We start from the raw sequence: 26,036 nt of genomic DNA on the forward strand, positions 1-26,036 counted from the left end.
TCTGTGTGTGTGTTTGGCATTGTGTGTGTGTGTGTGTGTGTGTGTGAGTGCACTTGTAAATGGAGGTTGCTTAAAGGAATGTGGCTAATGCACATAAGTGCTTCTTTTTGTTTGTTTGTTTTTGCTCTCTTAACCTTTTGATAGCCTGTCCGTGCATCTGCTTGGGCTGTGGGGCTCTGTGTTCTTTATTTTTTTGTGGATTATGAATACATAGTAAATTGAGAGGCTGGCTAAGACCTGCCAGAAACCAAATCAACTTCCCTCTATAAAAACAGCCACTCTTCTCGAAAGAAGAGGAGCACATCACACCTAAAAGCAGACATCTCCCAGTGTTTCATTGTAATGAGGCCAATCCGGGGATAGACACTAGCAGTCCTATCTGCAGTGCCAATTGAATTTACCTTGAATTCCATTCCCAGCTGAGCAGGTGCTACAGGTCTTGAGCGGGTATTCCTCCATCATCTTGGGATTTCATTCTCAGACAGAGTGTGAGCAGAAATAAGATCAGATTGGGATGAGGATGCAATCTTCTGAGGGGTGAATGAGGACCCACACCTTCATCTGCAAAACACATGAAGACAGTTGACAGAGAATTTGCTTCCAACAGCATACCCACATTCCTTTAACTGTACAACTAGTCCACAACATGGCCCAGTATTCAGGTGGGAGTATTCAAATGCAAAGGGAACATTTGGAATGCAAACTGGGGCCATGCTGGCAAACCCCTGATTTTATGGCTTTCATACCCAGAGCCAAATAGGAGTGGGATGGGTTGATGCTTGGTGGCAGGTGGACTCCATACTTCCCTTTTCTTTTTCTGACTTCCATGTTTCTCATCATCCTAGGGTATCCTGGGTCTGCCTCAACGTCTTCCATACTTAAAATTTTTCAGTTAATTGCAAACAACCCTCATGGGAATCCATTGCAAGAGTGATTCCTTCTAAACACTGTCATGTTTTAATGACTGGGCAGCTGTGATACTTTTAAAACCATAAATTCCCATTACTTCAGTCAACAAGGAAACTTGTTCACCCAGTTACATTGGAGGGCTGCATAATTCCTATAGGATGAGAAACAGGCAGCCCCACTGGCTTTTGAGTGGGAGTCTAGAATATATTTTATTGCATCTGCACATCCTTTCTCACTGTGTGTGACATTCATTGGGTTGTTGCTGGATGAGACTGCCTCTCACCGCAGATCTTTTCACTGCCAAAGATTTCAAGGAGCAAAAGGGATTTTGAGTAGGCTGGCAGCACTCCAGGTTGTGGGTCAGGTCTGTTTTTGGAGGCTGGGTTTTTTGCAAATTGGAGAAGGCTTTTTGTGTGCTGACAGGAATCTTTGAATGTTGCTTTGACTCCAACACAAGGCAGCTCATTCTAGCAGTTGAGCCTTGATTTATCTTTATTCTCATGGAGAATCCACAGTGCCTCTCAATAGCACTACTGGACAGCCTTTTCAGGCTTGTAATCACCACAGTTGGCCTTGAAGACACTGTCTGAACCTCTTCTGCACCTGTGAGAAGAGAGTCCGAGGTGTAAGAACACTGCTTCATCTTGGACTTGCTGTGTTGTGGTTCCTACCTTTCTGAGACAGGACTGCAAGGGCCAAAATGAAGGGAAGCATCAAGGTCGAAGGCATGACCATCTTTTCCTAACACCCACCTCTGGAATCTCAGGTATGATTCCATCATCCAAAGACCCCTCAACCTCTGATCAGACTATATTCCAATCCCCATGGGCAAAGATTCTTTGACACAGCCTCTTTCAGGAATGGAGTCTGAATATCGTTTCCATGGACCACCTCACAGTCTCAAAACACTGCCTTGTTCAGTGGGACCTGACCAGAAAGACTGCCTGAAGGTGCGGTAATGCTGAGACTTTTAGAGTTTTGCAGAGTTTATCAGAGGCATCATTTTTTTTGACATCAGGCCACTACTGCCTATAATATTTTCCTCTGTTTAGGAAGGCTGACAGCTCTGACAACAGGACACCAGAGCCTGCCTCACCAATGCAATGCACTAGTCTCAGGGCACCAGGCCTGAGCTGTGAGCTCTGGCTAGCATCACAATGAATGCCACCATTGCCTAGCGACAAGTCCCTGCCATAAGGTAGAGAAGTAGCCCTTCGTGGAGGTGCACAGACCATGGATTCTTGCCTTCTTCTGTGTGGGGTCCACAGGATATTCCCATAGTTCTAGGAGAGGACAGACATTAGCCTGCCTAAAGAAACATCAAGCAGAGCCCCAGGAATAAACTGTGGAATTCCTAACGATTCAAAAAGATTTGCAGGATGCATCAGACCTGCCTAGACATTGTAAGGGTGAGTCTTTTTGAAATTTGCCCCACTGTGATTTCTAGGTACAGCCCATTTGTGTTGCCCGGAGTTGCTATCTCCCAGATGGGGCTTCGTGCAGAGCCACGCAGCCTCAGAAGCTGCCAGGATGTGTGTTTCTATGAAAGTAATGTGAATGTTGAATGTCTGTGTATGTGTGTGGCTTTGTGTGTGTGTGTGTGTGTGTGTGTGTGTGTGTGTGTGCACCTATAAGTAGAATCTGCTTAAAGCAATGTGGCTAATGCACTGCAGCACTTTTTTTTTTTTCAGTCTTCCAACATTTTGTTGGCCTGTCTGTGGCTCTGCTTGGGCTGCTGTCCATCCTTTTCTTTATCATTTTGTGGAGTTTGAATCTGCAGTGAATTGGGATGCTGGCTCAGACCTGCCGGAATCCAAATTACTCTCATCTGTAAAACAGCCACTCTTCTAGAAAGAAGAGAAGCACACCACAAACACAAAGAGACATCTTCCAGTGTTTCATTGTCCTGGGGCCAACCCATAGAGAGACACTAATAGTCATGTCCACCTTCAATTTACTTCGAATTCATTTCCCAGCCTAGCAGGTGCTTCAGGTCATGAGGGGTTACTCTTTCATCATCTTGTGGTTTCATTTTGGGATAGAGAATGTGAACAACAACAAGGTTAAATAGGGGTTGGGATACAATCTGATGAGGGGTGGAAAGAGACCCACACATTCACCTGCAAAAAATGTGAAGATAGTTGACACAAAAGTTGCTTCCAACAGCACCACAGCATTTCTTTCATTTCTCAAGCAGTTTACAACATGGCACAGTGTTCATGTGGGAGTTCTCCAATATGTAGGGAACATTTCAGATGCAAAATTGGGCCATCCTGGCAAACTCCCAAGTTGAGGGATTTCATACCCATAGTCAAATGGGAGTTGGATGGACTGATGCTGGGTGGGATGTGGCCTCCACACTTCCCTCTTCTTTTCATGATTTTGGTGTTCCTTGTCAGCCTAGGGTTTTCTGGGTGTGGCTCACCATTTTCCATACTAAACGTTTTCTGCTCCATGAAGAACGACCTACGTGGGAATCCATTGTGTGATTGTTTCCTTCAAAATACTGTCAAGTTTTAAAGACTGGGCAGCTTTGATAGTTTTAAAACTATAAATTCCAGCTATAGCTGCTAACAAGGAAACTCTTGTTCTCCCACTTTTATTGGATGGCTGCATGATTCCTGTGGGATGAGAAAGAGGCAACCATGTCTGGCTTTTGCCTGGTAATCCAGCCTCTGTTTCATTTCATCTGCACAACCTTCTCATTGTGGAAGGGTTCTTTCATCGGGCTGTTGGTGGATGGGACTGCCTCTCATCACAATTATTTAGCTGCCAGGAATTTCAGAAAGCAAAAATGACTTCAGGTAGGCTGGCTGTGCTCCAGATTGTGGGTTGTTGTCTCATTGTTGAAGCTGAGGTTGTTTGCACATTGGAGGACACTTTTTGGTCCTTTGACAGAAATCATTGAACATTGCTTTAACCGCAGTAAAATGCTGCAGATTCTTTCACATGAGTTTTGATTTTTCTTTACTTTCATGAAAAATCCACAGTGCCCCTCAACAACACTACTAGACATACTTTTCAGGATTGCCATTTCCACAGATGGCTGTGAGAAGCCAGACTGAGGTGTGAGAACACTGCTCCACAATGAACTTGCCTTTGTCACTGTTCCTGCCTTTCCCAGAGAGCCCCTTCCAGGCCTAGGATGAAGGGAGGCATTGAGGTTAAGAGCCCGGGCATCTTTCACTGACACTTGCCTCTGCAGTCTCACGAAAGATTCTATCACCCAAAGAACTCTGAACAACACACCAGGCTATAGTCTCTCCATGAGGCCCAATTTTTTGCACACAGCCTTTTTCGAGAATGGAGTCCAAATAGTAATGCCTGCAACCACCCCACAGTCTTAAAAAGCCTCTTCCTGCAGCAGGTGGAATTCTGAGTTTGTGTGTGTGTGTGTGTGTGTGTGTGTGTGTGTGTGTGTGTGTGTATGTGTGTTCCCGTAAGTGGAGTCTCCTTAAAAGAATGTGGCTAATGCACTTCAGCCCTTCTTTTTGTTTTGAGTTTCTCAATCTTTTCACGACCTGTGTGGTTCTGCTTAAGCTGCAGGGCCCATATTCTTTATTTTTCTCTGGATTATGATTCAGATCCCAGATAAGCAGGGGCTTCATATCGTGAGGGGGCAATCCTCCATTTTCTTGGAATATCATCCTGGGACAGAGTGAGCAGAAACAGGGTCAGATTGGGGTGAGGATACAATCTGGTGAGAGATGGATGAGGTCCCATAACTATACTTGGAAAAAAATGAAGACAGATGACACAGAAAGTGCTCCCAACTCCATCCCCATATTCATTTAATTGCATAAGCAGTCAATACCGTGGCCCAGTGTTCAGGTGGCAGTACTCCAGCATGCAACAACATTTGGAGCTCAAATTGGCGCCACCCTGGAAAACTCCCGATTTGACCTCTTTCATACCCAGAGCCAAGTGGGAGTGGAATAGATTGATGCTGGGTGGGATGTGGCCTCCCTTGCCTCTTCTTTTCCTGACTTTCATGTTCCTTGTTGGCCTAGGGTTTCCTGGGTCTGGACTTCCACACTAAATATTTCCCAGTTAATGGAGCACAACCCTCATGGGAATCCAATGTGTGAGTGTTTCCTCCTAAACACTGTCATGTTTTAATGTCTGGATAGCTTTGATGCTTTTAAATCCATAAATTCCCGTTACAACCGCCAACAAGGAAACACTTCTCCCACTTCCGTTGAAGGGTTGCATGATTCCTGTAGGATGAGAAGCAGGCAGCTGTGTCTGGTTATTACCTGGTAATCTACCCTCTGTTTTATTTTATCTGCACTGCCTTCTTATTGTGGGGGGTACTCTTTTATTGGGTTGTTGCTTGATGGGACTGGCTCTTGTTGCAGATTATGAGCTGCCAGGGATTTCAGAGAGGAAAAGGGACTTCGGGAAAGTTGGTTGCACTCCAGGTTGTGGGTCCTTGTCTCCTTGTGCCAGCTGATGATATTTCCACTTTGCAGGAGGCTTTTGGGTCCTTTGAGAGGAATCACTGAACATTTCTTATACTCCAGCACTAGGCACCTCATTCTCAGCCAAGCCTTGATTTTCCTTTGCTTTCATTGAGAGTCCACAGTGCCTCTCAACAGCACTACTGGATACCCTTTTGAGGCTTCCATCACCACAGAGGGCCTCTGAAACACTGTCTCAACATCTTCTGCACCCGTGAGAGGACATTCCGATTTGTGAGAACACTACTCCACCTTGCAGTGTTAAATGTTTGTGTGTGTGTGACATTGTGTGTGTGTGTTTGTGTGTGCCTGAGATTGCCTCTGGGGTCTCAGGTATAATTCCATTACCCAAAGACCCCTCAACTTCTCACCAGACTATATTCTAATCCACGTGGGACTTGATTCTTGCACACAGCCCTTCTTGGGAATGGAGTTAGAAGAGCATATTCCAGCGATAACCTCACAGTCATGAAATGGTTCTTCCTCCAGCGTGACCCAACCATGGTGATGGTCATAGGAGTCCTAAGGTGAGACTTTTAGGGTCCTGCAGTGGGTTATTACAGTCAGTCTTTTTCCCAATACAAGGCCGGCTCTGTCCATACCATTTTCCTCTGCTTAGGCAGGCTGACAGCTCAGTCCACCTTGCTAACACACATGTGCTAGTCTCAGGGAACCAGGCCTGAGCTGTGACCTGTGGTTAGCATCACAATGAATTTGGCCTGTGCTCAGCAACAAGTCCCTGCAGTTTGGTGGAGGAGGAGACCTCTGTGGAGGTGTGTCAGTGATGGAACCTCACCTATCTTCTCTGTCTTACCCATGGGATAATTCCATGATCCAAGGAGAGAGCAGATGTGAGCCAGTCTGAAGAAATGTCAAGCAGCGCCCCAGAAATAAACCACAAAATTCCTAAGGATCCATAAAAATCTGCAGGATTCCTCAGGGTGGCCTAGATGCTGTAGGGGTGAGACTTACTGAAATGTGCCCCACTGTGGTTTCTAGGTTCAGACCTCCTGTGTTTCCTGGTGTTGCTCTCTTTCAGTTGGGGCTTCCTGCAGAACAATGCAGCCTCAGAAGCTACCAGGCTATGTGTTTCTGTGGGAGTGTTGTGAGTGTTGGATATCTGTGGGTGTGTGTGGCTTTGTGCATTTGTGTGTGTGTGCCTGTAAGTGGTTTCTGCTTAAAGCAATGTGGCTAACACACTGCGGTGCTTTATATTTTTTAGTGTTTTAACCTTTGGATGGCCTGTCTGTGTGACTCTTCTTGGGCTGCAGGGCTCCCTGTTCTTTATGTTTCTGTGGATCATGAATCAGCGATGAATAGGTAGGCTGGTTGTGACCAGCCAGGGCCCCCATCATCTTCCCCTGCAAAAAAAAAGGCACTCTTCTAGGAAAAAAAAAAAGAGGAGAACATTACACCCAAGAAGAGACACCTCTCAGTGTTTCATTTGTAATGCAGCCAATCCAGAGAGAGACACTAGCAGTCCTGTCCACAGAGCCCATTGAATTTCTCTCAAATTCAGCTTCCAGCTGAGCAGGTGCTTCATGTCATCAGGGGGCACTTCTCCATCGTCTTTGGATTTCTTTCTGGGGCAGAGACTGTGAGCAGCAATAAGGTCAGATAGGGGTAAGAATACAATCTGGTGAGTGGTTGATGGGGTCCTGTATCCTCACCAGCAAAAAAGGTGAAGGCTGAGGACACAGAGGTGCTTCAAACTGCATCCCCACATTCCCTTAGTTGCAAAAGCAGTCCACACCATGGCCCAGTGTTCAGGTGGGAGTACTCCAACTTGCAGGAAACATTTTTAGTGCAAACTAGAGCCAACCTGGCACACTTCCCATTTGAGGGCTTTAATACCCGAAGCCAAATGGGAGAGTGAGATGGAATGATGCTGGGTGGGATGTGGCCTCCACACTTGCCTCTTCTTTCCCTGTCTTCCAGGTTACTCATTGGCCTAGGCTTTCCTGGGTCTTGCTCAATGATTTCCACACTAAACATTTCCCTGTTCATGAAAAATGACCCTCATTAAAGTGCATTTCGTGTTTCCTTCTAAACACTGTCATGTTTTTATAACCGGTCTTCTGCGATAATTTTAAAACCATAAATTTCTGTTAGAGCCAGCAACAGGGAAAATTTGTTCTCCCACTTCTAACAAAGGGCTGCATGATTCCTGTACTATGAGAAGCAGGCAGCCGTGTCTGGCTTTTACCTGGTAATCTAGCTGTTTCCTTTCATTTTCATGTTCTTTTTTATTGTGGAGGGGGTCTTGCATTTGGCTGTTGCTGGATGGGCTGCCTCTCACCACACATCTTTTTGATGCCACTGATTTCAGGGAGCAAAATGGACTTCAGTTAGGCTGGCTGCACTCCATATTGTGAACTGTTGTCTCATTGTGGTGGCTGAGATTGTTTGCACTTTGCAGGAGAATTTTGGATGCTTTCACAGGAATCTTTGAACATTTCTTGGACTCCAGCACAAGTCAACTCATTCTGTCAGGAGAGCCTTGATTTATCTTTGCTTTCATGCTGGGTCCACATTGCCCCTCAACAACAATATTGGCATTTTTCAGGCTTGTAATCACCACAGAAAGCCTCTGAGAAAATTTCTCAACCTCATCTGCACCCATGAGAACACAGTTTGATGTATGAGAACACTGTTCCACCCTGGACTTGCCTTTGTTGTGGTTCCTACGTTTCCCAGAGAGCCCCTGTGAGGCCCAAAATGCAGAGAGACAATGAAGACAAGGGCCCAGCCATCTTTTATTGATCCACACCTCTGGGGTCTGAGGTATAATTCCATCACACAAAAACCCTTCAACAACTCACCAGACTATATTCCAATTCATATAGGATCTGATTCTTGCATGCAGCCCTTTTCAGAAATGGAGTCAGAAGAGCAGTGTTTGTCCACCACCTTACAGTATTGAAACACCTCCTCCTCCAGCATGGCCTGAATACGTAAACATCCCGAAGGGGCCCTAAGGTCGAGAATTTTAGCATCCTTCAGTGCATAATGGCAGGAAGCACTTTTTTTTTTTTCACGATACCAGGGCGGCTCTACCTGTACTGTTTTCCTCTGCTTAGGTCAGGCTGACAGCTCAGCTAGACGGTCACCTGAGTCTGTCTCACAAACCCACAGGTGCAAGTCTCAGAGCACCAGGCCTGATTGTGAGCTCTGGTTAGCATCATAATAAATGTCACCATTGCCTAGCATCAGTTCCTCCTGCTTGGCAGAGAAGGAGACCTCCATGAAGATGTGTTGGCGGTGGACTCTTGCCTATCTTCTCTGTGCAATTCACGGGATGGTTCCATGAATCTAGAAGAGGGCAGACTTGAACCAGCCTCAAGAAACTTCAAGCATAACCTCAAGAATAAAAAGCAAAATCCCTAAGGATTCAAAACAATCTGCGGGTTTCCTCACGCCTGCCTAGACATTGTAGGGTAGAGTCTTTTTGAAAGTTGCCCCATTGAGATTTCAAGGTGTAGCCTGCCGGTGTTCCCCATGGTTGCATTGTTGCTCTTTCCTGCAGAACCACGCAGTGTCAGGAGCTGCTGAACTGTGTGTTTTTGGGTAAGTGTTGTGAGTGTCTGATGTCTGTGTGTGTGTGTCTGGCATTGTGTGTTTGTGTGTGTGTGTGCCTGTAAGTGGAGTCTGCTTAAAGGATTGTGTCTACCTCGCTTCAGTGCTTCTTTTTTTTTTTTTTTTTTTTGTCTCCATACCTTTTGGTGACTAGTCTATGTGGCTCTGCTCGGGCTGCAGGGCTCCGTGTTCCTTAATTTTCTTTGAGTCATTAATTCACACTGAATTGAGAGGTGGGTGGAGACCCGCCGGCGTCCAAATCACCTTCCCCTGCAAGAAAAAGCTACTCTTCTAAAAATAAATAAATAAACAATAAATAAATAAATAAAAGAGCAGCACACCACACCAAAATATCAGACATCTACTGGTGTTTCATTGTGCTGATGCCAACACACAAAGAGACACTAGCCGTCTTGTCTGCCAAGCCCCATGTACTTACCTCAAATTCAGCTACCAGCTGAGCTGGTGCTTCACGTTATGAGTTGGCCCTCCTCCATCGTCTAGGGATTTCACCCTGGGACATGGAGTGGGAGCAGCACTAAGGTCAAGTAGAGTGTAAATACAATCTGGAGAGGAGTGGATGGGGTCCCACAACTTCCCCTGCCAAAAAAAAATGTCACCAAAGGTATGACAAACTTCTTCCCCGAGTTCCCTCAATTGCACAATTAATCCACAGCAGCCCTGTGTTTGAGTGGGAGTACTCCAACGTGCAAGAAATATTTGGATTGCAAACTGGGGCCATCCTGGCAAACACCCGATTTGAGGGCTTTCATATCTGGAGCCAACTGGGACTGGAATGGATTCATGCTGCTTGGGATGTGACCTCCACGCTTGCTTCTTCTTTTCCTGACTTCCATGTTCCTTGTTGGCCTAGGGTTTCCTGGGTCTGGATAAATGACTTCAACACTAAATGTGTCCCAGTTCATGGAGAATGACCCTCATAGGAATCCATTGTGGAAGCATTTCCTTCTATCCACTGTAATGTATTAATGGCTGGACAGCTTTCATACTTTTAAAATTGTAAATTCGAGTTACAGCCACCGACAAGGAAACTCTAGTTCTATCACTTCTATTGGGGGTGCTGCATGATATCTGCTGAGTGAGAAGCAGGCAGCAGTGTCTGGATTTTTACTGGTAATCTGGCCTCTGATTCATTTCATCTGCATGGCCTTCTGTTTGTAGAGGGGCTTTGTTGGGCTGTTGGGGGATGGGACTGTCTTTCATCACAGATTATTTAGCTGCCAAGGGTTTTAGAAAGCAATAGGGACTTCAGGTAGGCTGGCTGCACTTCAAGTTGTGGGTCGTGGTCTCGTGGGGGCTCAGGTTGTATCCTCATCCTTATCTGACCTTATTGGTGCTCATACCGTATGTTCCAGGATGAAATCCCAAGACGATGGAGGAGTGTCACCTCACAACATGAAGCACCCACTCAGCTGTGAACCAAATTCGAGGTAAATTCAACGGTCCCTGCGGACAAGACTGCTAGTACCTCTCCCTGGGTTGGACTCAGGACAAGGAAACACTGGCAGATGTCACTTTTTTAGAGTGGTGTGCTCCTTTTCTTTCTAGAGGATTATTATTATTATTTCTTACTATTATTTGCATGGGGAGGTGATTTGGATGCCAGCCGGTCTTGGCCCACCTTCCAATTCACTGGGGATTTATCATTTTCATAGAAATAGAGAACACGGAGCCCCAGAGCTGAGCAGAACCACACAGACAGGCCATTAAACGGTTTTGATATTCAAAACAAAGAAGTGCTGAAGGGCATTAGCCATATTCCTTTAAGCAGTCTCCACTTACAGGGACAGACACACACCCACACAAACACAAAATACCACACACACAGAGACATCCAACACTCACAACACTCTCCCCGAAACACATAGCCTGGCAGCTCCTGATGCTGCGTGATTCTGTGGGAAGCCCCACTTGAGAGAGAGCAACCCCAGAAAACAGAGACAGGCTGCTCCTAGACATCACAGTGGGGTAAATTTCAAAAAGACTCACCACTACAACATCTAGGCCAGCCTTGGAAATTCTGCAGCTTCTTTTGGATTTTTAGGGATGTCGCAGTTTATTCCTAGGGCTCTGCTTGACGTTTCTTCAGGCTGGCTCACGTCTGCTTTCTCCTAGGATCATGGGACTATACTGTGGATCCCACAAAAAAGACAGGTGAGAGTCCACCGCTGACACACTTCCACGGAGGTATTCTTTTCTGGCAAGCCACAGAGACTTGTCACTAGGCAATTGTGGCATTCATGGTGACACTAGCCAGAGCTCAAAATCAGACTTGGGGCTCTGAGACTAGCACATCCACATTTGTGAGTCAGACTCGGGAGCCCAGTTGTCAGAGCTATCAGCCTGCCTAAGCAGAGAATATTGTTAAAGGCCGAGATGGCCTGGTATTTGGAAAAAGGCTGCTTGTGAAAACCCACTGCCAAACCCTAAATCTCTCAACCTCAGCGATCCTCCGAGCTGTCTTGGTGGTCGGGTACTGCTGAAAAGAAAGGCCTTTTGTGACTGTGAGGTCATCACTAGAAACTGCTCTTCTGACTCCAATCCTGAGAAGCTGTGTGCCAGAATCTGGTCTCATGGAAATTGAAATATAGTCTGGTGTGTTGCTCAAGGTTCTTTGGGTGATAGAATCATACCTGAGACCCCAGAGGCAGGTGTCAGTGAATGATGGCTGGGCTCTTGACCTCACTGCCTCCCTTCATCATGGGCCTTGCAGGGGCTCTCTGGGAAAGGCATGCACCATGAAAAAGGCAAGTCAAAGTTGGATCAATGTTCTCACACCTCGGACTGGCCTCTCTTGGGTGCAGATGAGGTTGAAACAGCATCTCAGAGGCCATCTGTGGCGATTGCAAACCTGAAAATAGTGTCCAGTAGTGCTGTTGATGGACAATGTGGAATCTCTAGGAAAGCAAAGAAAAATCAGTGCTGGCCTGAGAGAACGAGCTGCCTTGTGCTGGAGTCCAAGGAATGTTCGATGCTTCTTGTCAGAGGATGCAAAATCCTCCTGCAAAATGCAAACATGCTCATCCCCCACGACATGTCCACAACCCACAACCAGGAGCTCAGCCAATCTACCCAAAGTCTTTTTTACCCTCTGAAACCTCTTGCAGCCAAAAGATCTGTGGTGACAGGCAGTCCCATCCAGCAACAACCCACTGAAGGAGCCCCGTGACAATGAGAATGGACCTGCAGATGAAATGAAACAGAACAGTGGCAGGGAGAGGGGAGTGATGTAGCTGTGGGCATGCAAACCCAGGGCCTCCCACAAAGGAGTATCAGAGACAAATACAGTATCAAGAGATCAAGAGAGAATTACTCTCAGGAATGATTCATTCATGATGTTTATGAAAAGACCAAAAAGTTAAACAGCTTGTGAGGTTGTGAACATAAAAATATCACAAAGAAAAGCAAGCAAAATTGCAAAGTCCAGGCTAATTACCTTTCCTTTATAGGATTTTGAAAATCCCTTCCAGAATCCTCTTCCCAATATCTTCCACTCATGGATTCATTCAAGAAATATTTATTGAGCTAGAAAGGTCTAAGCATTCAGCAGATGGCGTCATATGCACTGTTGGTACTTCCATCATTTACAGAAAGGATGTTTGTTTTTTCTCTACAATGTTTTTCTCCCAAACATTATTCTTGCAAATTTGTATCCTATCAGATGCAGCCAATTGTTCCGGCCCTAAGAAGGTTCTCCACACCCCTGTAAACCCAGTTAAGAACTTCTTTCCCCTCCAACTAAGTTACTAAACTGTGTATATAGTAATGCTTGCCAGAGTACATTCCAATTATTGCTCTTTTCTTCATTCTCCAATTAAACTATGAATATTTTGAAGGAGAAGTCTATAAACACAATGGCTTGACATTTGTCAATATTTATTGTATAAAAGGTTATTAGATATATAACCTTTTTATATTTTATTTATATATAATATTCTAATATATTTATCCTAATTTTTGGAAAACAATATAAACAATGTTCACTGCCCATTCCTCCATTGACTGCTCAAATTTACACAATGTCTCTACTTTTGGAGCAATTATACAAACTTCCAAAAAACACCTGAAAATGTTTTTATTTTAATTTATTTTGTTTTTTATATTGAATCATTTTGTAGAGGCAAAAGTCTTGCCTCATGGCCCAGGCTGAAGTGCAGTGTGTGATCACAGCTAACTATAACTGTGAACTCCTGAGTAAGTAGAACAGCAGATGTGTGCCATCATGCCCAATTTAACTAATTAAATAATTAGTTACATTTTAGAGATAGTTCTTGCTGTGTTGCTTATGCTGCTGTCAAACTCTGGGTTTGAAGCAGTTCTCCCTTCTCAGCTTCCCAGAGAGCTGCAATTCCAGGCATGAAACACCAGACCTCAAAGACGAAATTTTAGATTTTAGAATATTGCGATATATTAGACTTAATTTCTTCTTTCAATCTTGCATTTGCGGTGACACTTGAGAATAATTACTACTTATGGTGAGAGTGTGATTTCTCATATTTGGTCACCAAATTTTGAAATTTTTATTCTGTTTACTTAAATCCTAATAACTGGTAGTCAACTCAGCTGAAAGTCACATACATGGATGTTTTTGTGCTGAGGCTATGAAGACAACAAATGTAGTGACGTATTAAGAACCAAAGACTATTATTTTTAATATATGCTAAAGCTTTATCCTTGCTGGTGAAGCATCATACATGGCATGGATAGTTTTATAAAATACCCTGAAATACATACTTTAGTAAACAATTTAGCACTTGTAATTTTTCAACTTTGTTTTCAGCGGAAGTTAATGATGTATGGCATTTCTAGTAGGTAAATGAATGTCTGAATTGTTGTGAGTTACTTTAGTCACTTCTCAGCTAACAATTTAAGTTATCAAAGGTCTTTACTTGTGCAATATCATAAATGATGGATATTAAAAATTAATAGAATGGATCTAACTAAAAGCTACCATCTAACGTGATATTTTTCAGGAAGATGACAGCAGTAATTATGCCAAAAAATAGTCATTCTCTTAGTTTGACCCATAATAGCAATTTCCAACCAAAGATTCCACAGGCAGGGTCCAGATCTGGGCAACAGTTATTAACATAATGGTTATTGTTGAGAATAAATTTTGATACGTCTAGCTGTGCTTGAATGTCAGTGCTTTGAAGGGACAGGTTTGGCGTATTAATAAGAAAGGGTGCATTGGACTGAATACTAATAAATGAATTGTTTTTCTTATCTTCTATAACATGAAAGTTCAATTTGAGATATAGAAACACTGGAACATTTCACAGCATGGCCTGACATTTCACTGCGTTTTTATTTTTTAACGATGTACAAAGTTCATTAAATACACAAAGGTAGGACTGCTACAGGAAGAAAGTGGTGGAGTCAGAGGTCACAATCCAAAGCAAGGTGACAGTCTCTTGAAGAAGACACCCTGAGTGCTGAATTAAGGTGAGAATCAACTTTCAGCTGTTAACAGGGGACAGGGAGAATGAAGTTATCAGCAGTTAACATTATTGGATTAATTGAAATGAATGTTGACAGAGATTTTATTGGCTTTACATCAAATGGAGTATAGTACTTCAAATTGCGTATTTGATGAGGGTAAACTCTTATCAATTTGCCACATGTAAAATTGAGAATTAATTAAGAGATTACACAACCCATACATTATGGGTATCTCATATAAATTTAAATACACATGTGCAAACTTGCAGTGTGCAAATATTTGTCTATACCTAAATATATCCAAATCCATTGATGAACAGTTAGAAATTTAGAAATTATTCTCCCATTTTATCATTCCCTTTCCTAGAATTTGGTCACAAATATAATTTTTCCATCTCTTTGAATCCTACTCTCTGGAGGTATGTAATGTATGGACACAGTAAAGCCTTGAGATATCACAGGGTTTGTATCAGAGAAAATAATAACACTGGTGTTACAAAAGATCCACTGTGAGGAGAAAGATATATTTAACATGATTACAAATACAGAAGTATTATTTCATCAAAAGCTGATATCAGTGAATACAATTTGTTTTTAATGTTTTATTTAAAATATTTAATATCAGAAGAATTTCTTGAGTAGAATAATGATATTGGTAAGAAATAATGATTCAGAATTTCCTTTAATTTGTTGATTATTTAAAATGTAAGTGAAATACTAAAAAGTACTGTATAATGTAGTTTCATGAAGCATTCTCTATGGTTTTATAAAATTAATAGTCAATGAAATTTTTTGACACAGAAATTTCCTTATATAATTTATTATTTATTATTGTACTTTCACTTTATTACTTGCATGTCATAACTGATAGAAATAAAAATATTTTCATTTACACATATACAAAACATCGATTTTTGTTTATGTTCTCTAGTGAGAGAAAGTCACCAATAATTTTATCTATGTAGGAAAATTTTGACAAGCCGAAAGTTCTTAACATTCTTTTCTTTTGAAGTTTCATATTTCAGTCTAGGTATGAGATCAAATTGACTGTGATTATTTTTTGATTTCACTATGACTACTGAGTTTCTGATATTGTGCTTTATATATATATATAGTGTTATATATATAGTGTTTTTATATATAGTGTGTGTTTATATATATATATATATATATACAGTGACACTCTCCTTAACCCAGATGGACTCCTTGTCCTCACTACATGGTCATGGCTCAAAGTATTACTCCTGGTGCCCCAGCCACTGTTTCCAGGTGCAGAGATTGACCAGCATACCCCTGAGTCCTTGTCCTCCAGTCCAAGTAATATCCATAGAAATAATAAAAGGGTGGCATATTAGTCTTCATGACATTTTTAAGGCTGACCTGTTTATAAGCATTTCATGCAGATATTTATGACTTTACCTCATTTATTTAACTTATTTATAGTGCTAATTTCAAAATCAATTTTTGCTTGAGAGTTATTTCAACATACAACCAAATGTTCAGAGCTATGACACAGGTTTCAAGCTTAAAAGTCTGTATCTGATATTACATTGGGTAAAACCCATCCAACACTTATAAAAATAAGTAATTATTAGGCATGGCCACTGTAATGATCTAAAACACACTTTGAAATTCTTTGCAAACCAATTTGAAAATATTCCTGATGTGACAGAACACAGTACTTGCTTCTAATTAATAGAAAACAGTGAAAGCATTTTCTGGATATTGGGCCACCTCTGGCCTAGGCTAGAAAAGGTGACACAGCTCTGCCTAAGTCTCCTGCTGTCATGGGGACAAACCCCTCAGGAGCCCCAGACCAGTACATCATGAAGTCTAACACCCTGATAACACTATGCAGAATGGACATCCCATGGAGAGACTCATAGAAATAAAAGGAGATGCCTGAGGATCTCAGCAGCCCAACCTCCACTATTTGAGTTATGCTAGCCATGGCACCAGGGAAATAAGAAGACACCTGGCAATGTCCCCATCCTGAGCCATCACTAGATTGTATCCTCCTGAGTGCCCCTGAACCACAATCATTTGGCTGAGAGACTGTGGAAGATTTTAGAGACTGAGAGTTAATAAATTATAATTATTGTTTGAAGCCACTAACTTTCTGATAATTTTGAAAAGCACTTTAGACTCCTAGAAAAACTGAGTTGTCTACTGATTTGAGTAATTTTAGAGAGCTTTAAAGGCCAACTTCATGAATGCTAATACCTTGGAAAAGTCAAACAATCAAGACTATTCTAAACACAACAGATATTTAATTTCCCTTTGCTATGGCTGGAGAATAATCTAACATGTATCTGACAGAGTACTTTGAAAGACTCTGTTCACATCTCTTTTCTGGGTATGTGCCAACTCTGGTCTGCTTTAATTTTAGTCAACTGCAGCAACTCATATATCATTTTAGGTCCTGGCCTACACTGATCTTTAATCACTGACTGTGTCTGTGTCTGTGTCTGTATGTATTGTGTGTTATCATATTTTATCCAAAGGGGCTAAATAACAGTGCTATAGTGGTTTCATAATCATAAAGCATTCCAGGAACACAATATTGCTTATCAACTGAGCTTTAAAACAGATATGAGGCAGGACGTGGTGGCTCACACCTGCACTCCCAGCAATTTGGCAAGCCAAGGTGGGTGGATCTCTTGATGTCAGGAGTTTGTGATAAGCCTGGCCAACATGGCAAGATCCCATGTCTAATATCATAGCAAAGCTAGCCAGGCTTGGTGTCCCATGAATATAATCTCATCTATGTGGGAGGCTGATGCAGGAGAATCCACTGAAACGCTGAGACAGAGTTTGCGGTGAAGTAAGATGACACCACTGCACTCCATCCTGGGCACCAGAGCCAAGACACTGTCTCAGAAATAAAAATGAAATAAAATAATAAAATAGACAGGAGAGATCACTGAGAAAAGAAACACATAAAACTGGGTGGGCATTGTGGCTTATGACTGAAATCCCAGCATTTTAAGAGGCTAAGGTGGGTGGATGGCTTGAGGAAAGGAGCTTGAGACCAGCCTGAGCAAATATTGTGAAACCTGGTCTTTACTAAAAGTGCAGAAAAAAAAAAAAAAGCTAAGATTGTTGTCACATGCCTGCAGTCATAGCTACTCGGGAGGGTGTGACTGGAGAACTGCTGGAACCCAGGATGGGAAGGTTGCAGTGAGCTGAGATCATGCCACTGCACTCCAGCCTAGGCAACAGAGCAGGATTCCATCTAAAAATATTAAACAGAGATACAGAGATAGAGGAAAGGAAGAAAGAAAGAAAGAAAGAAAGAAAGAAAGAAAGAAAGAAAGAAAGAAAGAAAGAAAGAAAGAAAGAAGATAGAAAGAAAGAAAGAAAGAAAGAAAGAAAGAAAGAAAGAAGGAAAGAAAGAAGGAAAGAAGGAAAGAAAGACAGGGAGAAGGGAGGGAGGGAAGAAGGGAGGGAGAAAAAGAGAATGAAAGGCATGAAACCAAAAGGAAATGAATAAAAATAAAAACATGATTTTACTCATTATCCACATGAATTTTGAACTATGTTTACATTAATATTTTATGTTTAAAATAATATTAATAATATTTAGGTCTCTGGTGGACTAACAGAAATGTTAAAATAAGCTGGTGTATATTTGACAATACTCAAGTAACTATGAGTATTGTCAAAATTACTCATGTAACTAAGCTTCTTGGAAGAGCTGAAACCTAGTTTCCAACAACCAAACACAATTGACATTTGTCATCAAATTGCACACTATTAGGGGCCGGGTAGTCTGTATTATGCTGCCTAGTCCATATTAAATTAAAAGTGCAATCAAATCTGCAAAAGATTTTCCATTTACTATTACCAGTAATGATTGTTTTGTTTCCTGACTTGTGGAGAGTTTTATTCCCATAGCTTTGATGGCTCTGGCAGAAAGCCTTCCTGTTCCAAACTCACCACTTATCATCATAGTACCCGCGTTCAGGCATTAAGAAGAAAAGAGCATCCAATCCCTCTGCTTTCCTGCATCGGCTCCCATGCACAAGCAAATGTGTTGTGTTAGTGGCTATCAAATATTCATGTATTTGATCAAGGAAATTTGTATTTCCAAATGGTAAAACAAAAATACTACTATCAGTTGTATTTTTATTATTTATTTACTTAGAGTGAGGGTCTTGCTCTGTCAACAGTCTGAATTATACATCACTGTAGTCTAACACTTTTGGGCTCAGAGGATCCTCCAACATCAACTTCCTAAAGTACTGAAATTATAGACTTTAGCCATTGTACCCAGCCTCAAGTTTAGAGATAAAGACTAACGAAGATATTGTAAAGCATGTAAATAAACATAATTGCAGGTTATCTACAGAGCTGTAAGAAACCACTGAAAAACTGCCATTGTGGACAAGGCTCCTGGCAAAAATGTAATGCAAACAAAGGAATGGGTCCTTCCCAATGAGCCTTCAGATAATACCAGAGACCAGCATGGCATTTCCATTGCTGCTTTTTGACAGAACATGAAACCTAGTTGTGTGCGTTTTGTGTGTGTGTATAAGCATACATTCACAACCAGTTGAACAATCTAGGATCACCCACACAGTGGAATATGATGCAGCTCTTTGTATATATGGTAGAATGCATCCTGAATCTGTCAGTTTCTTGGCTTTTTTTATTTTGGCTGGTAGGTTATTTATTAGTAATGATTCAATTTCAGAAATTGAAATTGGACAGGCTGGAGCTGAGACCGGGTTCACTTTGATTCTGTTGTGGAACAGAGAATGGCATGGCTGTAATTTTGGCTGTGATGATTACTGGAAGGTCTCTGCACAAATGGGCTAGTTTTCTGCCTGCAGCAGGAGGCTCTGGGGCTGAAAATCAGCTCCCTTGACATTGCTGTTGAACAGATCATTTAGAACCTGGTCTGGGCTAAGAAAGTTGCATTTGCCCAGAAAGTTTCTCAAAGAGCTTATAATTCCCTGACATAGGGAAGAACCAGAGCTGAGAGTGGGTTCTCCCAATAGGGAACAAAGGCTGGAGAGTCTAGATCCATTTTCTGCTGGAGAGAGCCTGGATAGACTACATTCATTGGCTCAGACAGGCAAGTTCCCCAGCATGGTAGTTGTTTCTGAGCAGCAGAGGGAGGAGCTGGAACTGAGACTGGGATTCTCGGTTTCTCAATAAAATCATGTGCTCTAGAGATTCTAACACCCCAGTGATTTCCATTAGATATATCAGAAGTGAACATCCTTCCAGAGGTAACAAGGCTTATTATATAAGCTACTTGCCCTCTGGGTCCAGTTAGAGCCAGCAACTTCATCCTTAACCACTAAACTGCCTAAACTGCCTCTGATATTCAGCCTGGGGATGGGTGGAGCACACAGGGCTAAGATGGTCAAAAGTATGATAGCCTAGATTGGGTGGGGTCACATGAACATTCTGTGGGTAATTACCAAGCTGCCTCTTTGTCACAGCCTGGGAAGTTCTGCAGAGAAAGCCAGGGTGGGATTTGGCAGTTGGCCAATGATTTGAGCCTGGCAGACCAATCAACCACGGTTGGTTGCTGCAGAATGATGTTGTTGCCTAGTTTCTCTGGTGGTTCTCCTCTGCTGGCTGGAATGCAAAGCCACCAGTAAGATTACTTTCATGGTCAATGTGAGCCCCATCCATGTAGTTTGTTTCTACCTGACCCCAGTTGTCTGATACCCTCGATGTTACCCACTGGGTAAGACTAGAGAGAACATCATGTGAAGAATTGCAAAATGGAAAAGAAAAGCCTGAATGTGCACTTTCAACTCTCTCCAATCTGAAGAAACTGTGAGTCCAGGGAAATGTTTTTCATATGCAACACTGTGCTGGCTTGGGGAGAAAAAAAACTTCAAATTAAAACTGTTCTTTTATCCTATGTGTATGGCTATTCTATGTTCTACAGTCAAAAAAGGTGTCATAGATTCAATCCCAAGTTATAGAATCATTCACTAAGGTGTCCTTATCTAAGGATATTTGTGAGCTGAGTTTTTGTTTGTTTGTTTTTTTGTTTTTGTGGAGAGGGTAGGAATTAGCAGAATCACAGAATGCCTACTCTGTCACTTCAGATCCCAGAAACAGGCAAGTTAAAAGAATGGTCTATGCTGATCACAGTGGCTCACACCTGTAACTCCAGCACTTTGGGAGGATGAGGTGGGCATATCACAAGTTCAGGAGGTTGAGACCATCCTGGCTAAAATGGTGAAATCTCCTCTCTATTAAACATACCAAAAAAGAAAAAAATCAGCCAGGCCTGGTGGCATGTGCCTGTAGTCCCAGCTACTTGGAAGGTTGAGGCAGGAATATATCTTGAACCCAGCAGATGGAGGTCAAAGTGAGCTGAGATCATGCCACTTCCCTCCAACATGGGTGACAGAGTGAGACTCAATCTCAAAAAAAAAAAATACTGGTCCTAAGGGAGGAGTTTAAAATGTTGTGGTGCTTCCATGGAGAACCTGAAAGCTAGAGTAAGCCAAGGGTTGGATTTAAGGACAATTTCACGGGACCACCGAAAACCACTTTTTTTTTCCTCTGTGGAACAAAGGAAACAGTGAATGCTGAGCTCCACTGCTTACTGATATAGGCACATTATCAGCCAGAGATACATGGCTTATTCTGTTTGTGTTCCTATAAAAGAATGAGACTGGAACATTTATAAAGAAAAAAGCTTTCATTGGCTCCTGGTTCTGGAGGCTGTAAAAGATGTGTGGTCTCAGCATCTGCATCTGGTGAGAGTCTCATGAGGCTTCCACTCAGGACAGAAGGTAAAGGAAAACAGGCATGCCACATGTGGAGAGAGCAAGAGAGAGAATGGGAGACAGTATCAGGCTCTTTTGAACAACCTATTTGGATGTAAATTCCATTGTGGGAACTAATAGAGTGGAAAACTCACTTATTAACCATGGTGAGGGTGCCAAGCCATTTATGAGGGATCCAGCCCCACACTAGGTGTCATTTATAGTGTGGACAACCACATTTCAACCTGAGGCTTGGAGGGAAAAATATTTAAACTACAAAAATAAGCCAGTTTAATAGTCATGCAGAGTTATGGTAAAAAAAATCATTTTTCCTCTTCAAAACCCTGGGGCTACAAGATGCTGGGCTTCATTAGCTTCCAGAGATTGGCAAGTTAGTATTAAAACTCTTAGGCATCAAGCTGAGAAGTCAGGGAAATAGTTGGGTAGTTTGACTTCTTGGAAGGAAAATTTAGAAGCTCAGTATATTGCTAGAGTGAGTGACGATGAAGACTGATGGGAAATGCCTATGTGCCTGCTCTCAGAGGACCTTGACAGATCCAAAAGTCAGGAGGATTAGAAGCAAGATACCTGGGCAGAAGCTATAAAAGTGAGGACATGACTGGATGTGGTGGCCCATGTCTGTAATCCTAGAACTTTGGGAGGCCAAGGAGGGGGATCACCTGAGGTCAGGAATTTGAGACCAGCGTGACCAACATGGTGAAACTTTTTCTTCACTAAAAAATACAAAAATTAGCCTGTCATAGTGGTGGTCACCTGTATTTCCAGCTACTCGGAAGGCTGAGGCAGGGGAATCACAGGAGGCAGGGGTTGCAATGAGCCAAGATCATGCCATTGCACTTCAGCCCAGGTGACAGAGTAATACTCTGTCTCAAAAGAAATGAAAAAACAAAAAAAGAGTCAAGCCATTAGATGTACAATCTAAGTTATTTGAGGTACAAAGTGGGAGCTGAGATTTTTGACTACTTGAGATCCCTTAAGCCAGGGGGAAACCATTTCAGAAGTGCTTGAATGTCTATTTAAATCCCCATTTTTTCTTGGAGGTCCTAGTGACAGGTGAAGCCACCTGGACTTCCTGGGTCAAGTGAGGACTTGGAGAACTTTTCCCTCTAGCTAAAGGATTGTAAACACACCAGTCATCACTCTAAAAATGCACCAATCAGCACTCTGTGTCTAGCTAAAGGATTGTAAATGCACCAATCAGCACTCTCTAAAATGGAACAATAAGCACTCTGTAAAATGGACCAATCAGCACTCTGTAAAATGAGTCAATCAGCAGGTCGTGCATGGATCCAAATAAGGGAATAAAAGCTAGCCACCTCACCCAGCATCAGCCACCTTCTTGGGTCCCCTTCTAAGCTCTGGAAGTTTTGTTCTTTTGCTCTTCACAATAAATCTTGCTGCTGCTCATTGTTTGGGTCCACACCACCTTTAAGAGCTGTAACACTCACTGTGAAGGTCTGCAGCTTCATTCTTGAAGTCATTGAGACCACAAGACCACTGGAAGGAAGAAAGTCTAGGCACATCTGAACATCTGAAGGAACAAACTCTGGATATGCCACTTTAAGAGCTGCGAAACTCACTGTGAAGGTACGCGGCTTCATTCTTGAAGTCAGCAAGACCAAGAACCCACTAGAAGGAATAAATTCCAGACACATTATGGCAACCATGAAGGGACTATCACCTATCACCAAGCAGTGAGTACCATCAGACACCTTTCACTTGCTATTCTGTCCTATTTTTCCTCAGAATTCTGGGGCTAAAAAACCAGCCACCTGTAAGCCAGTTAAAAGTGACTAGCATGGCCGCTGGACTAAAGACATGGGTGTCATGCTTTCTGGGGAAGTGCTGTCTAACAAGCCCCAACTCTTCAGATTTGGGAGCATTGGTTTGCCTGCAACCAGCTTCTGCTTTCCCTATACCTCTGGGCTGAGCTGGGGGTCAACAGAGAGGAAAGCCATTCAGCTCCAAAGTCCCAATAACAAGTTGGTTAATGCTGCAGCCATGAGTAGTACTCTCAAAGTCACGTTGCACAAGTGAGACTCGCCCATCTATCCTATCTATCCTGACATCTGACCTTTGCTTCCTGGGTCCTAATACCTGTCAGACAAACTTCCTCTTGTCTCTTCTCTGAGGCTAGCCCTGCTTCTGAAAACCACTCCCTGTCTCTGGTGCTTTTCTAGTTTCTCTGCTAAGAATGATTTCTAGTATAAACTCCAGGACTCTATTCCCTTCTTTAGGCACCCGGGCTTACCAATCAGAAAGATATAATTTTAGCCCAAAGCCCCACTGGGGGACTGGGGGAACATCTTATCTAGAATTTTAGGATCTCTCTTTAGACTAGCAGGCCTAACAAAAGCTACTCCTGAAGCTAGGGTATGGGGAGCTTCAGAAATGGTATCCTTCCTATTCAAGTGAGGACAAAAGGCATCACTCTTCCAACCCTGGATAACATTTCCCTCTCTCAGGGTATGGCCCTCCACTTCATTTTTGAGGTGTAATATCTTTATAGGACAGGGGCATAGTCCCAATACTAATGGGAGAATGCTTAGGACTCTAACAGTTTTTCAAGAATGCATCAGTAAGTGCCACTAAATCCGATTTTTCTTGGTCCTCTTTGTGGTCTAGGAGGACAGGAAAGGGTGCAGATTATTGAGAATACATCAGTAAGGGACACTAAATCTGACCTTCCTCAATCTTCTTTGTGGTCTTGGAGGAAAACTAGTGTTTCTGCTGCTGGGTCAGTGAGCGCAACTATGCCAATCAGCAGGGTTCAGGGACCATTGCAGTTCTTGGGCAGGGGAAGAAACAAACAAACCAAAATTGTGGGAAGTTTTGTCTTTCAGATGGGAAACACTCAGACATCAACAGGCTCACCATTGCAGTGCATCCTAAGCCATCGGGACCAATTTGATCCACAAATCCTTGACAAAGAGGTGGCTCATTTTTTTCTTCACTATTACCAGGCCTCAATATTCTCTCCAATGGGGAAAAATGGCCAACTGAGGGAAGTAAAAATTAAAATACTATCTTGCAGTTTGACCTTTTCTATAAGAGAGAAGGCAAGTGGAATGAAATACCTGATGTCCAAGTTTTATTTTCATTGAAGGAGAATCCACAGCTTTGCAAAGCTTGCCATTTACATCCCACAGGAGTACCTTTTAGCTTACCCCTATATCCTAGCCTCTGTATAGCTCCCCTTTCTATTACTGATAAGCCACCTCTAATCTTCCCCCTGCAGAAGGAAACAAGCAAAGAAATCTACAGAGGACCACAAAAAAACTCCGGGCTATTGATTATGTCCCCTTCAAGATGTAGGGGGAGGGGAATTTTGCCCAACCTGGGTACATGTCCCCTTCTCTCTCCCTGATTTGAAGCAGACCAAGGCAGACACAGGGAAGTTTTCAGATGATCCTGATAGGTACATAGATATCTTATAGGGTCTAGGGCAAACCTTTCACCTCACTTGGAGAGATGTTATGCTAATGTTAGATCAAATCCTGGACTTTAATGAAAATAATGTGGCTTTAGCTGCAGCCCAAGAGTTTGGAGATACCTGGTATCTTAGTCAAGTAAATGATAGAATGACAGCTGAAGAAAGGGACAAATTCCCTACCAGTCAGCAAGTCATCCCCCATATGGATCCCCACTGGAAACTCAACTCAGATTATTGGGACTGGAGTCACAAACATCTGCTGACCTGTGTTCTAGAAGGACTGAGGAGAATTAGGAAAATGCTCCTGAACTATGCAATGATGTCCATCCTAACTCTGGGAAAGGAAGAAAATCCTTCTGCCTTCCTCGAGTGGCTATGGAAGGCCTTAAGGAAATCTACTCCTCTGTCACCTGATTCCCTTGAGGGTCAATTGACTCTGAAAGATAAGTTTATTACCCAATCAGCTGAAGATATCAAGAGAAAGCTCCAAAAGTCAGCGCTGGACCCTGAACAAAATCTGGAGGCATTAGTAAACCTGGCAACCTCAGTGTTCTCTAATAGCTACCAAGAAGACCTGGCCAAAATGGAAAAGTGAGATCAGAGAAAGGTTGCAGCCTTATTCATGGCCCTCAGACAAACAAACCTTGGTGGTTCAGACCGGACATAAAATGGAGCAGGCCAATTACCAGGTAGGGTTTCTTACCAGTGTGGTTTGCAAGGACACCTTAAAAAAGTTTGTCCAACAAGAAACAAGCTGTCCCCTGGCCCATGTCCACTCTACCGAGGCAATCACTGGAAGGCTCTCTGCCCCAGAGGACAAAGTTTCTCTAGGCCAGAAGCCCCCAACCAGATTATCCAACAACAGGCCTGAGGGTGTCTGGGTCAAGTGCCAGCTCATGTCATTACCCTCACTGAGCCCCAGGTACATTTAACCATTGAGGGCCAGGAAATTGACTTCCTCCAGGACACTGGTGTGGCCTTCTCAGTGTTAATCTCCTGTCCTGGACAGCTGTCCTCAAGGGCTGTTACTATCTGAGGAATCCTGGTTTGGCCTGTAACCAAGTGTTTCTCCCACCTTCTCAGTTGTAACTGGGAGACTTTGCTCTTTTCACATGCCTTTCTTCTTATGCCTGAACATCCAATACCTTATTAGGGAGGGACATATTAGCCAAAGCTGGAGCTATTATCTACGTGAACATAGGGAACAAGTTACCCATTTGTTATCCCCTGCTGGAGGAGGGAGTCAACCTTGAAGTCTGGGCACTGGAAGAAATAAACTCAAGCTCCAGCCTTAAGCCTTCTGAGAGGACAAAACTTTTATTTATATGCCAGAGAGAGAGTAGGAATAGCTCTTGGAGTCCTTACTCAGACTCATGGGACAACCCCACAACCTGTGGTATACCTAAGTAAGGAAATTGATGTACTAGAAAA

The 26,036-nt window shown here is 42.8% G+C and overlaps 1 long non-coding RNA gene across 1 annotated transcript; it reads left to right on the forward strand.

The window, feature by feature from the left end:
• Window positions 1–2,163: 2,163 nt before the first annotated feature.
• On the forward strand, window positions 2,164–14,256 carry TTTY22 (testis expressed transcript, Y-linked 22). The gene is made up of 5 exons (NR_001539.1): window positions 2,164–2,318; window positions 5,785–5,896; window positions 10,322–10,396; window positions 11,082–11,120; window positions 14,211–14,256. It is a non-coding gene; the product is annotated as a testis expressed transcript, Y-linked 22 (long non-coding RNA).
• Window positions 14,257–26,036: the final 11,780 nt, after the last annotated feature.

The sequence above is a fragment of the Homo sapiens genome, chromosome Y (genome assembly GCF_000001405.40).
Source record: "Homo sapiens chromosome Y, GRCh38.p14 Primary Assembly".
NCBI classification, from domain to species: domain Eukaryota; kingdom Metazoa; phylum Chordata; class Mammalia; order Primates; family Hominidae; genus Homo; species Homo sapiens.